Source organism: Homo sapiens, chromosome 3 (genome assembly GCF_000001405.40).
Source record: "Homo sapiens chromosome 3, GRCh38.p14 Primary Assembly".
NCBI lineage: Eukaryota > Metazoa > Chordata > Mammalia > Primates > Hominidae > Homo > Homo sapiens.
In genome coordinates, this window is record NC_000003.12 from 84,214,127 (window position 1) to 84,229,734 (window position 15,608).

The following is a 15,608-nucleotide window of genomic DNA, read 5'->3' on the forward strand; positions in this document are numbered from 1 at the left end:
AATTCAACACCACAGGAAGACTTAACTGTCATAACTATATGCACCCAACAGTGGAGCATATAGATTCATAAAGCAATATTTAGAGACCTAGAAAGAAACTTATATAGCTACACAATAATAGTGAGAGACTTTAAAATTCCATTAACAGGATTCATTAAGCCAGAAAACTAACAAAGATATTAAGGAAATAAATCTGACACTTGTATTACTCCATTTTCATGCTGCTGATAAAGACATACCCGAGACTGGGAAGAAAAAGAGGTTTAATTGGACTTACAGTTCTACATGGCTGGGGAGGCCTCAGAATCATAGCGGGAGGCAAAAGACGCTTCTTACATGGTGGCCACAAGAGAAAAATTAGGAAGAAGAAAAAGTGGAAATCCTGGTAAACCCATCAGATGCCATGAGACTTATCTGCTGTCACAAAAATAGCACAGGAAAGATGGGCCCCCAGGATTCAATTACCTCCCCCAGGTCCCTACCACAACATGTGGGAATTCTGGGGGATAAAATTCAAGTTCAGATTTGGGTGGGGACACAGATAAACTATATCATTCCACGCCTGGCCTCTCCAAATCTCGTTTTCACATTTCAAAACTAATCATGCATTCCCAACAGTCCCCCAAACTATTAACTCATTTCAGCATTAACCCAGAAGTCCACAGTTCAAAGTCTCATCTGAGAAAAGCCAAGTCCCTCCCACCTTTGAGCCTGTAAAATCAAAAGCAAGCTTGTTACTTCCTAGTTACAATGGGACTACAGGTATTGGGTAAATACAGCTGTTCCAAATAGGATACATTGGCCAAAACAAAGGGGTTACAGGGCCCATGCAAGTCTGAAATCTAGCAGGGTAGTCAAATTTTAAAGCTCCAAAACGATCTCCTTTGATTCCGGGTCACACGGATACAAGAGATGGATTCTGACAGTCTTGGGAAGCTCCACCTCTGTGGCTTTGCAAGGTATAGCCTCCCTCCCAGCCTCTTTCATGGGCTGGCATTGAGTGTCTGTGGCTTTTCCAGGCAAACTGTGCAAACTTTCGGTGAATCTACCATTCTGGGATCTGGAGGATGGTGGCATTCTTCTCACAGCTCCAAAAGGCAGTGCCCCATTGGGGACTCTGACATTTCCCTTCTGCACTGTCCTAGCAGAGGTTATCCATGAGGGCCTCATCCCTGCAGCAAAATTTTGCCTGCATGTCCAGGCAATTACACACATCTTCTGAAATCTAGATGGAGGTTCCCAAACCTCATTTCCTGACTTCTGTGCACCCACAGGCTCAACACCACATGGAAGCTTCCAAGGCTTGGGGCTTCCACCCTCTGAAGCCACAGCCTGAGCTGTATTTTGGCTCCTTTCAGCCATGGCTGGAGCAGCTGGGACACAGGGAACCAGTCCTTAGACTGCATACAGTACAGGGACCCTGGGCCTGGCCCACAAAACCACTTTTTCCTCCTGGATATCTGGGCCTGTGATGGGAGGGGCTGTGGTGAAGTTCTCTGACATGACCTGGAGATGTTTTCCCCATGGTCTTGGGATTAACATTAGGGCCCTTGCTACTTGTGCAGATTTCTGCAGCCCACTTGAATTACTCCACAGAAAATGTTTTTTTCTTTTCTATCGCATAGTCAGGCTGCAAATTTTACAAACTTTTATGCTCTGCTTCCCTTATAGAACTGAATGCCTTTAACAGTACCCAAGTCACCTCTTGAATGCTTTGCTGCTTACAAATTATTTCCAACAGGGCTGGGTGCAGTGGCTCACTCCTGTAATCCCATCACTTTGGGAGCCTAAGGCAGGCAGATCATGAGTTCAGGATATCGAGACCATCTTGGCCAACAACGTGAAACCCTGTCTCTACTAAAATACAAAAAATTTTCAGGGTATGATGGTGGGCACCTGTAGTCCCAGCTACTCAGGAGGCTGAGGCAGGGGAATCACTTAAACCAGGGGATCAGAGGTTGCAGTGAGTCGAGATTGCACCACTGCACTGCAGCCTGGCGACAGAACAAGACTATATCTCAAAAAAAAATAAAAAATAAAAAGAGAAAGAGAGAAAGAAAGAAATTATTTCCACCAGATAACCTAAATCATCTTTCTCATATTCAAAGTTCCACAAATCTGAAAGGCAGAGGCAAAATGCTGCCAGTCTCTTTGCTAAAACATGATCAGTCACCTCTACTCCAGTTCCCAACAAGTTTCTCATCTGTATTTGAGACCACCTCAGCCTAGACCTTATTGTCCATATCGCTGTCAGCATTTTCTGCAAAGCCATTCAACAAATCTCTAGTAAGTTCCAAACTTTCCCACATTTTCCTATCTTCTTCTGAACCCTCCAAACTGTTCCCACCTCTGCCTATTACCCAGTTCCAAAGTTACTTCCTTGTTTTGGGGTATCTTTTCAGCAACACCCCAGTCTACTGGTACCGATTTACTGTATTAGTTCGTTTTCACACTGCTAATAAAGACATACCCAAGACTGGGAAGGAAAAGAGGTTTAATTGGACTTAAAATTTCACATGGCGGGGGAGGCCTCAGAATCATGGCAGGAGATGAAATGCAGTTCTTATATGGCGGTGGCAAGAGAAAATGAGGGAGATGCAAAAGCAGAAACCCCTGATAAACCCATCAGATATCTTGAGACTTACTCATTATCACAAGAATAGCATGGGAAAGGCCCCCATGATTCAATTACCTCTCCCTCGGGTGGCTCCAACAACACTTGGGAATTCTGGGGGATACAATTTATATTGAGATTTGGGTGGGACCACATCCAAACCATATCAACGCTTGACCAAATGGACTGAACAGACATCTGCAGAACACTCCACCCAACAACAGAATAGATGTTGTTCTCATCTGCACATGGCACATATTCTAAGATTGATCACAAATTCAGCCATAAGGAAATTGTCAAAACATTACAAAAGAAAATTCAAAATTATACCAACCACAGTCTTGGAATACAGCACAATCAAAATAGAAATCAATACCAAGAAGATATTTGAAAACCATACAATTGTATGGGAATGAGGCAACCCACTCCTGAATGAGTTTTGGGTCAACAATAAAATTAAGACAAAAATCAACAAATTCTTTGAAACCAATAAAAGCAAAAATACAACCTACAAGAATCTCTGGGACATATTGAAAGCAAAGTTAAGAAGAATGTTTACAGTGCTAAATTACCATATCAAAAAGTTAGAAAGGTCTCAAATTAAACACTTAACATTAACCATAGAAGAACTAGAGAATCAAGAGCAAACCAACCCCAAAGCTAGCAGAAGAAAAGAAATACCCAAAATTAGAGCTTAATGGAATGAAAATGGAGACATGCAAATTCATACAGAATATCAACCAAAACAAAAGTTGATTTTTTGAAATAATAAATAAGATTGTTAGACCACTAGCTAAACTAATACAGAAAAAAGACATAACATCCAAATAAAAATAACCAGAAATTAAGAAGTGGGCATTACCACTGACCCCACAGAAATATAAAGTACCCTCACAGACTATTATGAACACCTGTGTGCACACAAACTGGAAAGCCTAGCAAAAATGGACAGATTCCTGGAAACATGCAACCTCTCAATGTTGAACTGTGAAGAAATTGAATTCCTGACCAAACCAACTGGTTCTGAAATTGAATCACCAATAAAAAATCTACCAGCCAGAAAAAGCCCTGGACCAGATGTAGTCACAGCCAAATTCTATCAGACGTATAGAGAAGAACTGATACCAATCCTACTGAAACCATTCACCAAAAAACAAGGAGGAAAGACTCCTCCCTAACTCATTCTATGTGGCCAGAATTATTCTGATACCAAAACCTGGCAGAAAGACAATGAAAGAAGAAAACTACAGGCCAGTAGCCCCCATGAACATAGACGCAAAAATCCTCAACAAAGTACTAGCAAATAGAATTCAGCAACACATCAAAAAGTTAATCCACCACAATCTGGTAGGCTTTATTCATAGGATGCAAGGTAGATTCAAAATACACAAATTAACAAATGTGATTAATCACATAAACAGAACTTTAAGTTTAGTTTTTGTTTTTAACAAATATGACATGATCATCTCAATAGATGCATAAAAGGCTTTGGACAAAATTCAACATGCCTTTATATTATAAGAAAACCTCAACAAACCAGGCATTAAAGGAACACACCTAGAAAAATAAGGGCTATCTATGACAAACCCACAGCCACATCATACCAAATAAACAAAAGCTGGAAGCATTCCGTTTGAGAACCAGAAAACACAAGGATGTACACTCTCATTCCTATTCAACATAGTACTGGAAGTTCTAGCCAGAGCAATCAGAGAAGAGAAAAAAACGAAAGGCATCCAAATAGGAAGAGAGGAATTCAAACTATCTCTCTTGCCGAAGAAATGAGCCTGCAACTAGAAAACCCTACAGTTTCTGCTCAAAGACTCCTAGAGCTGATAAACAACTTCATAAATTTTCAGGATACAAAATCAATGTACAAAAATTGTAGTATATCTATACACCAACAATGTCCAAGCTGAGAGCCAAATCAAGAATACAGCCCCATTAACGATAGCCCCCCAAAATAAAATAAAATACTTAGGAATACATCTAAACAGGGAGACAAAAGATCTCTACAATGAGAATTCCAAAATACTGCTGAAAGAAAGCAGAGACAACACAAATAAAAATATATTTATGCTGATGGATAGAAAGAATGGATATTGTTAAAATTGCCACATTGCCTAAAAGCAAATTATAAATTCAATGTTATTCCAAAGTATCAATGATTTATTTACAGAATTAGAAAAATATCTACTTTAAAATTCATATGAAACTAAAAATATTCAAATAGCCAAAGCAATTTTAAGCAAAAATAATAAAGCCTAAGTCATCACACTACCCAAATTCAAACAATACTACAAGGTTACAGTAACCAAAACAACATGGTACTAGTACAAAAACAGACATATAAACCAATAGAACATGTTAGAGAAGCCAGAAATAAAGCTGCACACCTGCAACCATATGGTCTTCAACAAAGTTAGCAATAACAAGCAATGAGGAATGGAATCCCTTTTCAATAAATGGTACTGGGATAACTGGCTAGCCATATGCAGAAGATTGAAACTAGACCCTTTTCTTTCACGACATATAAAAATCAATCCACCATGGATTAAATATAAAAAATGTAAAACTATAAAAATCCTAGAAGAAAACCCAGGTAATACCCTGGACATAAATCCTGGAAAATATTTCATGATTAAGACTCCAAAAGCAATTACAAAAATATGACAAATAGATGCCTATCAACAGTGGACTAAATAAAGAAATGTGGTACATACCCACAATTGAATAATATGTAGCCATTAAAAAAAGAAATCATGTCCTTTGCAGCAGTATCAATGCAGCTGGGGGTGATAATCCTAAGCAAATGGACACAGGAATAGAAAACTAAATACCATGTGTTCTCACTTATAAGTGGGAGCTAAATTTTGAGTACACGTGGACACAGAGGGATAGTGGACATAAGGACTTACTTGAGGGTGGGATGTAGAAGGGGGTTAGCAGTGAAAAACTATCTATTGGCTACTATGCTCAATTTTGGGGTAACAAAATAATATGTACACCAAATGCCAGTAACCTGTGATTTACCCATGTAACAAGCCTGTACATGTACTCCAAAACCAAAAGTAAAAGTTGGAAGAAAAAAAAGCCCATGGGCAAAATGATGTTTTCTAAAAAAAGACAAAACACTGTCATTTTTAACTTTGTAGTTTTAAAAGAAGACGTTTATTAGCACCATGTAAATTCATAAAACAGTAATATTAGTAGAATGTGATTTAAGATAATTGTAGACATTTTCCAAAACAGTTATTATACCTGGTGTCATTTATACTGAACAAATATTTACAGACAAATCTTTATAAATGAGCAAGTTATATACAATATCAGTTCCTGTGATTTTCTCAATGAGGATATTAACAACTGTTACTAAAGCTATTTTACACTGTCCAATGTCCTAACACCTTGAAATTAAATGATGTATATCAATATCTTCCAACAGTGAAATGTATACTTAGGAGAAATATGTTACAATGAATGTCTATATAATTCAAAATGTGAACTGCTCACAGAGTGAAATTTACTCAAATTCAGAGATATGATTGAATTTTTGTTGTCAACTATGCTTATAACATGTTCCCTGTTATTTTAATGAATAGGATCATTGTAACTATTAGTATGCTATATGAATACATAATATTTTAATAATTACAATGATTAGACAATAAGCAATTACTCTCTACCTGTCTTAAAAACTAAGAAATACTAACTGACTATCTGCATTTTATCTATTAACTTAGATCTTTGTTTCTCAAATTTTAATGTAGAGGCCAAATATTTCATATGTATATATAGTTTATATTAACTTTAGATACTATTATATTTGTGCTTTTTTGAGTTTATGTATAGACAAATTGTACTGTTCTTCAGTGCAGATACTAATAATAGCAATCATCTTGAAAAAAACTCAAATGCTCCATTGAGTAAGAAATTTCTTTCTTGTAATGCACGGTATGCAATAGAAAAGCTATTATAACATTATACCATCAGAGCAGGAAGAACCTTAGAGACCAAGTAGTCCAACCCCCTCATTTTACACATGCAGCTGTGGGACCTCCGAAAGGTCAAGTGACTTGCCAAAGGTGACAGTACCAACAGTTAGTGGCTGAGCTAGAAACAGGGCTCTGTATTCCCAGTGTTATGTCAATGCTCTCTTTGCAAATGATTCTTAACGAACTTTATAGCCTCCAGTCATGCTCACAACCTATCCATTCTCTACACTGCTGCCAGAATGATCTTTCATGAATACAAATCTGACCAACTTCTTCCCCTGCTTAAAAGCCTTTAATCGACTTTATCACTCACAGAAGAGACTTCAAGTTTCTTAGAAGTGACTATAGGATTCTGATATCTGTTTGATTTTCTAGTTTATTCTCTCACTAATTCTTAGAATCTAGAACCTGACTCCTGCAAATGCATCATACTTTATCCCAAAATGATTTTGAATTTCTCTGAAGCTAAGAGCAAACTGTTTTTTTCCTTCTCTATTTTCTCTGATTCACTGAACATTTGTGACACCAGATGTGTGGGTGCTAACTAGCTGGACATTCTCAAGTTCAATTCAATTCTGTAACTATTTACCTGGAGATATCATCAGATTCCACAGGTTAATGGCTCAATCCCACAAGACTGCTCCCACTTCAGATACCAGTCACAAGCAGCAGGTTGTAGCCTGTGCTTCTGACCAATCAGCTGTAAACCACATTTTTCACAATGCTTGGCTTGGGTTTGATTAATTTGATAGAATGGTTCACAGAGCTTAGGGATTTACTTAGGTTTACCAGTTTACTTGAAAGGATATTACAAAGGATATGGATAAATGGCCAGATGGAAGAGATACACAGGGTGAGGTTATGTAGGAAGAGGCCTGTAGCTTCTGTGCCTTCTTCAGTACACCACCCTCAAAGCATGTCCATATGTTAAGCCATCTGGATGCTCTCTGAACCTCATCCTTTTGTGATTTGGAGGAAACTTAATCAACTGGGAATGGCTGATATATTATTGGCAATTGGTCATCAACTTAACCTTCAGCTTACTCCCTTGTGGATGTTGAGGGTTGAGTCTCAATGTCTCAAACCCCTAGTCATGCCTTGTTCTTTCTGGTGACCAGCCCCCATCCTGAAGCTCTTTAGGGTCCTCAGCCACCAGGCATGTCATTAGCATACAAAAGACACTCTGATAACTCCAAACATTCCAAGAGTTTAAGAAGATATATATCAGTAAACAGGGAAGACCAAACATGTATTTCAAAATATCACAATTTTAAAAAGCCACCTCCTTATTATCTCATTTTATTATTACATAGCAAACTTCAGAAACAGATTTTTGATTTTATAAAATAGAAGATATTTGTGTTGCTCAAATATATACATCTGATTATTGACTGATTGAAAAGGAAAACCTACATCATTTTTCTCTTGGTATCTTTACAATGATTACCATAATTACTAACAGAAAAATCAAAAGCATTAATTTATTAATATAATAAACCACATTTAAAGTAGTTATGCATAAATTTAGATTTCACTAAGAACTTGATTCTTAAGTAAAATCAATGTATATCCTTTTTTAAATTAAAAAAAACATGTTTACTTACACAGATCAGACACCCTGTATGGGTACTGTGTAAGCAAGGTATGAGACTAGTTTTACAAGAAGCTCTTGTTGACTCTATAAGTCACATTTGATTCTTTAAAGGAAAACAACTCATTCCCATAAAAGCCTTGGTAAAATAACCAGTGTCTCTAATTATGTCCTGTTACAAAATAAGATGAATTCTTATTGCACTTATGCAAATAAGTATATTGCCATAAGTCAATAATACTCACAAATAGTTTCCAAATTTGGGAGAAATCTGGTAAAGAGAAATATGCTCCAAATTTTTTTCATAGGAGTGTACTTTACTCATCTGTTAAAAGCTGTGAATAGAAGGATTATTTCAGTGTTCTATTAGTTCAGTCCACACAGTTAATTCCTGTTCTGCTTGATATTCATAAACATTTCAGCTCTCCATGAGAACCTTGAAAGTTTTTCTCCATTCTAATGTCACAATTTCTGAAGTTATCAGAAATGGGCAATTCAGAGCAGCAGTTAGTGTCCTATCATTGATTATAAAACCATCTATTAAAGATGATTAAAACAAGACAACAATTGTCTGGGGATGACAAGAAGTCTTAAGGAAGCAACAGTCAAAGACACAATGGACAAGGAAATTTGTAACCTCTTTGGCACACAATAATTTAACATAACAATTATAATTATTACTGATAACGTATACTAAGTTATATTAGAATCATAGGAGTTTTGCATAATTTTGGAACATGTACCATTAACACATTTATAAAGAGCAGATTAATGTTTTAATAAAACTCTGTTGTGCTTTTATTCTAATGTGTGAATTATGGAAAAACTGAATAATACCCCTTTAACATTAGCCGATATACACACAGAATCTCTTTTACATGGTTAATTTTCAGAAACCTTCCATAACTTGCTTAAACCTTCAGGTTTATCCTATCTAACCTAACACAATCCTTTAGACTTCTAAACTAGGCAAAAAACATTCACATTCCAAAACTTTATTATAATCTTTTACCAAAAGCACATTTTAATTTACTTACATGGCTTGCATGTAAAACTATTTTTCCAGTAGTCTCAAGTACATGTTACACTGTTAACTCTTAGACTTTTACTTTTTTTGAAAAACTTGATAAGTGACTTCTTCTAATTATATACTAGCTTTGGAGCCTCGGACACCAGACAGAAGTGCAGATAAGGTTTGACTCTTTCTAGCATAGCTAGGGGGCATGATTAACTTTGTATGTCCCCAGGTCTTACCAAGCTTTAAAGCACACAAGTTTTACAGTTCAGAGCCATAGTAGGAGTTTATGACTTTAAAACATTTGCTAGACCTAATACCCTTTAAAACTACATTTTTATAAATTATCTTTCATAAATCTTTTTACAACTTACACATACCATCTGCCACATGCTTGGACTTTCTGACTTCCCCTAAACAGCTCTCTTTTTAAACAATCAGTCATTTTACTTTAGGAAAATAATTTGCCATACATGATCCTTTCTCACATAAAATCTTTTTTTCTTTATTTTTTTTTTACAAAAATACCTCTTTACCTTTATTACCCTTGAACTAGACAAAAGTCATTTTCCTTCTGTTAGGAAGTTATGGTTTGTATTGCATGTTGCTGTGTGAGTTTTGTGAAGGGGGAGCAGATATGTATTGTAGAAGTTATCACCCCTCAAGAAATTGCTTAATTAGATTTTTGCTAAGGCTTGTCTAGATAAGAGTAGGCTATTTCTAAACTCCTGAAGTAGAACTGTCCAGGTAAAAGTCATTGGTTAAAGATTTAGGCACCTTTCCCAGGTGTAAATCAAAAATAATATTCTAAGACCCCCCCCCCCACCCCGAACAATCTGAATGGACTTTCTCCTCAGCCAGGGCTGTTTTATAATTTAACCTGAAAGACTGTTTCAGGCCATGACAGGAAGTGGCAATTGAACATGCCTCATTATACCTCTCCAGCATTAACATCAACACAGACTTTAAGTCTGATAAGAAACATTTTACAACCTATTCTCTCTGATGCCTACTATCTTCATGAAGTCTTCCTCTGCAAATATAAACTTCAGTCTCCACAACCTCTTATCTTAACCCAGACATTCCTTTCTACTGATCCCAGTGATGTGAGATATTTCTCATTCCCTGTGCCAACTTAGGACCTCCACGGCCAGTGACACACCCCTGCCGCAGCCTTGCTGGGCCCCAAGCCTGCTGCTGGAGGTGACTCACCCACTAGGCCTGCCTGTGTTATAGATTGTACCTGTGTTTGCCAGTTTCCAAGCTCTTGTCCTGCATCCAAGAAGAATGAGATTGCACTGACAATTAGAAGAGTGAGGATGGGTGGAGAAGAATTTTATTGAATGATGAAGAGCTGTAAGCAAAGAGGGGATGTAATGGGTGGCCCCCCTTCCCACCAGTTGGGTGGGTTTCTTTCTCAGTGTGGCTAGATATGGGGTTTTTTTATGGACTTGGAATGGGGAGTGTATGATGATTGGTTTGTGAGTAGGCAAAAAAGGTTAAGTGAAGACACCACTCAAAGGTGGGCACAACAGCATAGAAAACCAATTAGGAAAGGGTAGGTAAATGTAAAATAGGTAAAAAGTGGGGATCAATCAGAAGAAAGCATGCCAAATGGGAAGTCAGGTTCTCAGTCCAGTCTGTAGATTTGACTTATAGCTTGGCTTTCAGGCTTTAAACTGTCTTCAGATTGGAGGTGGGGATTCATCAGGGAGTCACCCCTATGTGCATAGGCATTTGTCTGTCTCTTGCTGCTATCACCAGGTCTTTAGATAAACTCAACAAATTGTCAACCATGCAATTTTTAAATCTACCTATAAGCTGAAGCCCCCCTTGCTCAGAGTTGTCCCAGGTTTCCGGACCAAACCAATGTATTTCTTACATGTATTTGATTGAAGTCTCATGTCTCCCTAAAATGTATAAAACCAAGCTGCACCCTGACCACATTGGGCACATGTTTTCAGAACCTCCTGAGGGCTGTGTCACAAGCCATGGTCATTCCAATATTTTAGAGTTTGATTTTTCATTGACACAGGAGAAATAGGGATATTAAAGAGAAAGACAATTTAGAGGTCAGGTAAATATTAAGCAGTCACCCTTCTTGAAAAGTATATTTTTGCCCCAAGGGGTGTGAATATTTTCTTTTGGAGGGAGTGAGTGCCATTTGTTCCCATTACCCAAAAAGATTGGGAGGAACTGCTTAGAAAAGGATATGAACACAAAGTATGCAGCTCTTGAACCCAAAAGGTAAACTTATAATTTTACTTGCTGCTTCCAGAGTTGATCTTGGCTTTGTCCTGTTGATGAAGATGTCTAATCTGGGAACAGGCTGGAGCCAAAAGTCCCTTCAGCTTGAGGCTATCAAGTGTTGGTATTCTGTGACCCATTCCAATGACAAACTTGTGGCAGAGGGAGCAAGCACTGTGGGGTTTTTTCCTATTAATCCCATTGGTACAGTTTGCCTTCCAGTGGCCTGCTTCCAGCACAAATGGCAGATACTTGGAGAGTGTCCTTAGGGCAACCTGAAGGGGGCTGGTGAGCTTACATAGCAGCCAATAGTTAAGCCTGCCTCTCACTGTTTTTACCTTTTTCTTAGCCCTTCCGTCCTTATTCAACTTTCAGTTACAAAAGACTGAGGAGGCTAATCTGAGGGCCTCCTTCACAGGGGCACCGGATTCCAAAGCTGACTGTTGTAATTTCCTTCTGATTCACTTTTTAGGTCAAACAGTATTACAAAGTAAAACTAGTTTTTGTGTATTAAGGTTTGGGGGAATCAAACTTTCCTAGTTTGGGGTGATGCCTCTGAGGGGCATGTCCTGTGGTATATGCAATCACCATCTGAGAAGAGAAAACAGAAGAGAAAAAAATGAAAAATGATGGTCTCCTCTCTTATCCCAGAACCAACCTTCATCTCTGTCTTATGGGTCTTTTTTACCTGTGGCCTTGGGCTGGCCTATATCCTTGTCTCTATGACCTTACAGTGACTCTTGCTTGGAGCATTCTAGCAACAAAACGTTTATCTCTTTTCTCAGATTCTCATTTACTATGTTATTTAAGTAGATGAGAAGCCTGTTTTTCAGCTAACTGCTACAGGGGGCTGGACTACCTTCCTTTTGAATATAAACTTTAAGTCTTAATGCATACTGAGAAGGGTGTGGAAGTGATTAGAGAGATGGAGGCTACAGAATGAAGTGGGAGGAAGCCAGAGGAACACTCATTGAAAGCCTTCATGTGCTCACAAAAGCAGCAGCCCTTATATTGGAGAAGGCAATGTTTATGTGCCCTCTTGACATAAAGTAGTAACCTCAGGAGGATGTAGGGCTTCAGGTAGGAACACACAAATGACAAAATAAGAATTTCCCCTCCTCTCAAAGGGGTGTTAACTCTAAAACAAACAAAACAAACAAATAAAAAAAAAACAAGAAGCTGGGGTCCTTAAAGGACCACTGAGTGAGGCACTATTGCAGCCAGACAAACTCTTTCAAAAGCCGCCACAAAACACAGCCCTGGGGCATATCACTAATGAAAAACTTGCTCCTTTAAATAGTAAGTCATAAGGATCTGGTAGAGTCAAGGTTCTGATTAGTGTCTATCTGGGCAATGTGCTAGCAGACAGGGGAAGGGTTGGAAAGTCATCTGAGCTGGTAGGGTAGAAGAGGTATAAACCTCAGGGGATATCCACAAGGGAGCCCATGTCTTTGCCTCTGAGCACACTAAGGGCTGCAGGTGCATAAATAACAGGGAGTAAGTATATTTCAGCCAGAGAACAAAGTCATGCATCATGCAAAGCAAAACCAGAGAAGAGGCAAACTTGCCCCCAAGGCAAAAGTCTGGCAGGTACATGAGGTAATTTCAGAATACACACAGATAAAACAGAAGAATAGGCAGTGAAGGTTTTTAGGAAAGAGCCAATTTATTTGAAAAAGTAGAGGAAACCCCAGACATTGAACAATCTCAGACTCTTTTTATTTTTTATTTTTATTTTTGAATTGGATTTTTGCTCTGTAGCCCAGGCTGAAGTGCAGTGGCAAGATCTTGGGTCACTGCAGCCTCTGCTTCCCAGGTTCAAGCTATTCTCCCACCTCAGCCTCCCAAGTAGCTGGGATTACAGTCATGTGCCACCATGCCCAGCTAATTTTTTTTTTTGTATTATTAGTAGAGATGGGGTTTCACGATGTTGGCCAGGCTGGTCTTAAACTCCTGGCCTCAAGTGACCCACTCACCTTGGCCTCCCAAAGCGCTGAGATTACAAGTGTGAGCCATGTCACCTAGCTGTCACAGTCTCAGACTTTATCCCTACCACTCTTGCAAATCTCCTGTCAGGGAGAGCCATTAGTATCTCAGTTCTACTCAGCAAAGACCTCAAGGTCCTTCTTACCCCTGGGAGCCAGCCATCAGGGTGAACTGAGAGATCAGCCTAAGGAAGCAGAGCCACTGAATCCAAGAGTAATCCTTCTGGGGGTTGGTTAATAAGCAGGAGAGTGAAAGGAGAAGGAAACCACATATGGGAGTTGAATATCTCCAGCTGAAGAAGGCAAGATGTAGACATGACTTACCACTAGGTAATATACCCAAGTCAGCAGCAGAACATATCCAACTCACGTGGTACCAAAGTACTTTAGCAATAGGGAATGTATCCAAGTCACACATCACCCAAGTATGTTACTGGTGGCAAATCCATACAGATCTACTGCAACCTCAATTCTTGCCTCCTCGGAAGAAAGAATTCAACCAAGGGACATAAGGCAGAGTGAGAGACTGAGGCAAGTTTTAGAGCAGGAGTGTAATATTATGAGAAAGCTTTAGAGCAGGAACAAAAAGAAGTAAAGGACATTTGGTAGAGGTCCAAGTTGGCAACTTGAGAGATCAAGTGCATTGTTTGACCTTTGACATGGGGGTTTTATATGTTGGCATGTTTCTGGGAAGTTGTGTTTTTTCTCCCCTGATTCTTCCCTTGAGGTGAGCTGTCCATATGGGCAGTGGTTTGTCAGCACTTGGGAGGAGCGGGATGTGCCCTGTGTTTACTGGATTTGTATACACATGCTCACTTGGGGCATTTTTCCCTTACAGTCAAGTGTTCCTATAAGGTCAGATACCAGTAAAACTGCCATTTTGCCTCTTAGTTCACATGCATGAGCACACTTGCCCAGTCTTGAGAATCTTATCTGGAAGCTACTGATCGCAAGCTTTAGATTTTTCCTATCTACTGGGAGACAGTCTTTCCCTGGTGTCTGCTGCGACCAATTATTTTAGAGAGACAGGTAACAACCGCGTGACAATCTCTTGATGGTCTCCCCACATTCCTGGCTAGGAGGGCCCTCTCCTGCCCTGCTCATGTCTGACTAGCTACCTACTGTAATATTTGTAATGATAGGAGACATCTAGATAATGTGTCACAAGTAAACAGTTAATTCGAATTGATCGTGACCACAGTTAGAATTACAATTGGTTACTATAAAAAGGATTTTTCTTCAGAAAACCAATTCAAGTATGTTAATGTAAGGTTTAGATTCAATTTTAAGAAAGTTAAGAGAAATATTTATTAAATAAATTTGCTTGATATGCATTTGATGTCTTATGTATGTGGAATGTTTTTGTAAGCAGTTTTCTTTCTTTCATATTTTCTGTCTAAAGCTCTAGTACTCAAATGATTTTTAAAAAGAACAAAACTTATCAAATTCATTAGAAAGTAAATGAGTAATAAATATTTGATTTTGTTAAGTGATACACTAAATGATACATTCAAAATGAAAGCTATCTTTGTTATTTTTTAATAGCATGGATCTCTGAAGAATCAGTAAATTACCTTGTTTACAAAAATGTTTAAAACAATTTTGTACTTGTAAATAAACCAAGAAATATAATATATGAGAAGACAGTTTTGAAAATCAAGTATTATAAACATAAGATACATTGAATATGAAAGATAATGGATCTACAAAAGATTCTTTAAAATAATAAAGTATTTCATAGGTATGATAGTTTATTTTTATTTTATTTATAAATATATTTATTACTGTGATTAGTTGAGTTTTTCAAAAACAGATTTTATTAAAATTTTTATTTTACCACCCTACTAACTAACCAAGGTAATGTAAACTTAAACAAAGCAATGATTATTTCAGACATTTATCACTGTGGCCAAAATCAGAGGAATATTGTGAAATAAATTATTCACTGGATCCTGTGAGAGATATACCGCAATTATATGCAAGATTGGGATAAATTTTTGAAAATACATTTTAAAAAGTTTAAATTCAGGATTTTAAAATTATTTAAGTAAAAAATAAAATTTGATTTTTAACACATTTCATCAGTGGATGTGTCAATGCTTTTTCCAATAATTTTAAAATATTTAAAACATTGGCTTAAGTTTGTGTTAGAGTTACCACT

The 15,608-nt window shown here is 37.9% G+C and overlaps 1 annotated feature.

The window, feature by feature from the left end:
• Positions 10,232-10,526: a silencer, noted in NCBI's record as "tiled region #13042; HepG2 Repressive non-DNase unmatched - State 24:Quies". NCBI's record gives its function as "represses a minimal TATA promoter and a strong SV40 promoter by Sharpr-MPRA in HepG2 cells {active_cell/tissue: HepG2}" and the evidence as "EXISTENCE:reporter gene assay evidence [ECO:0000049][PMID:27701403]".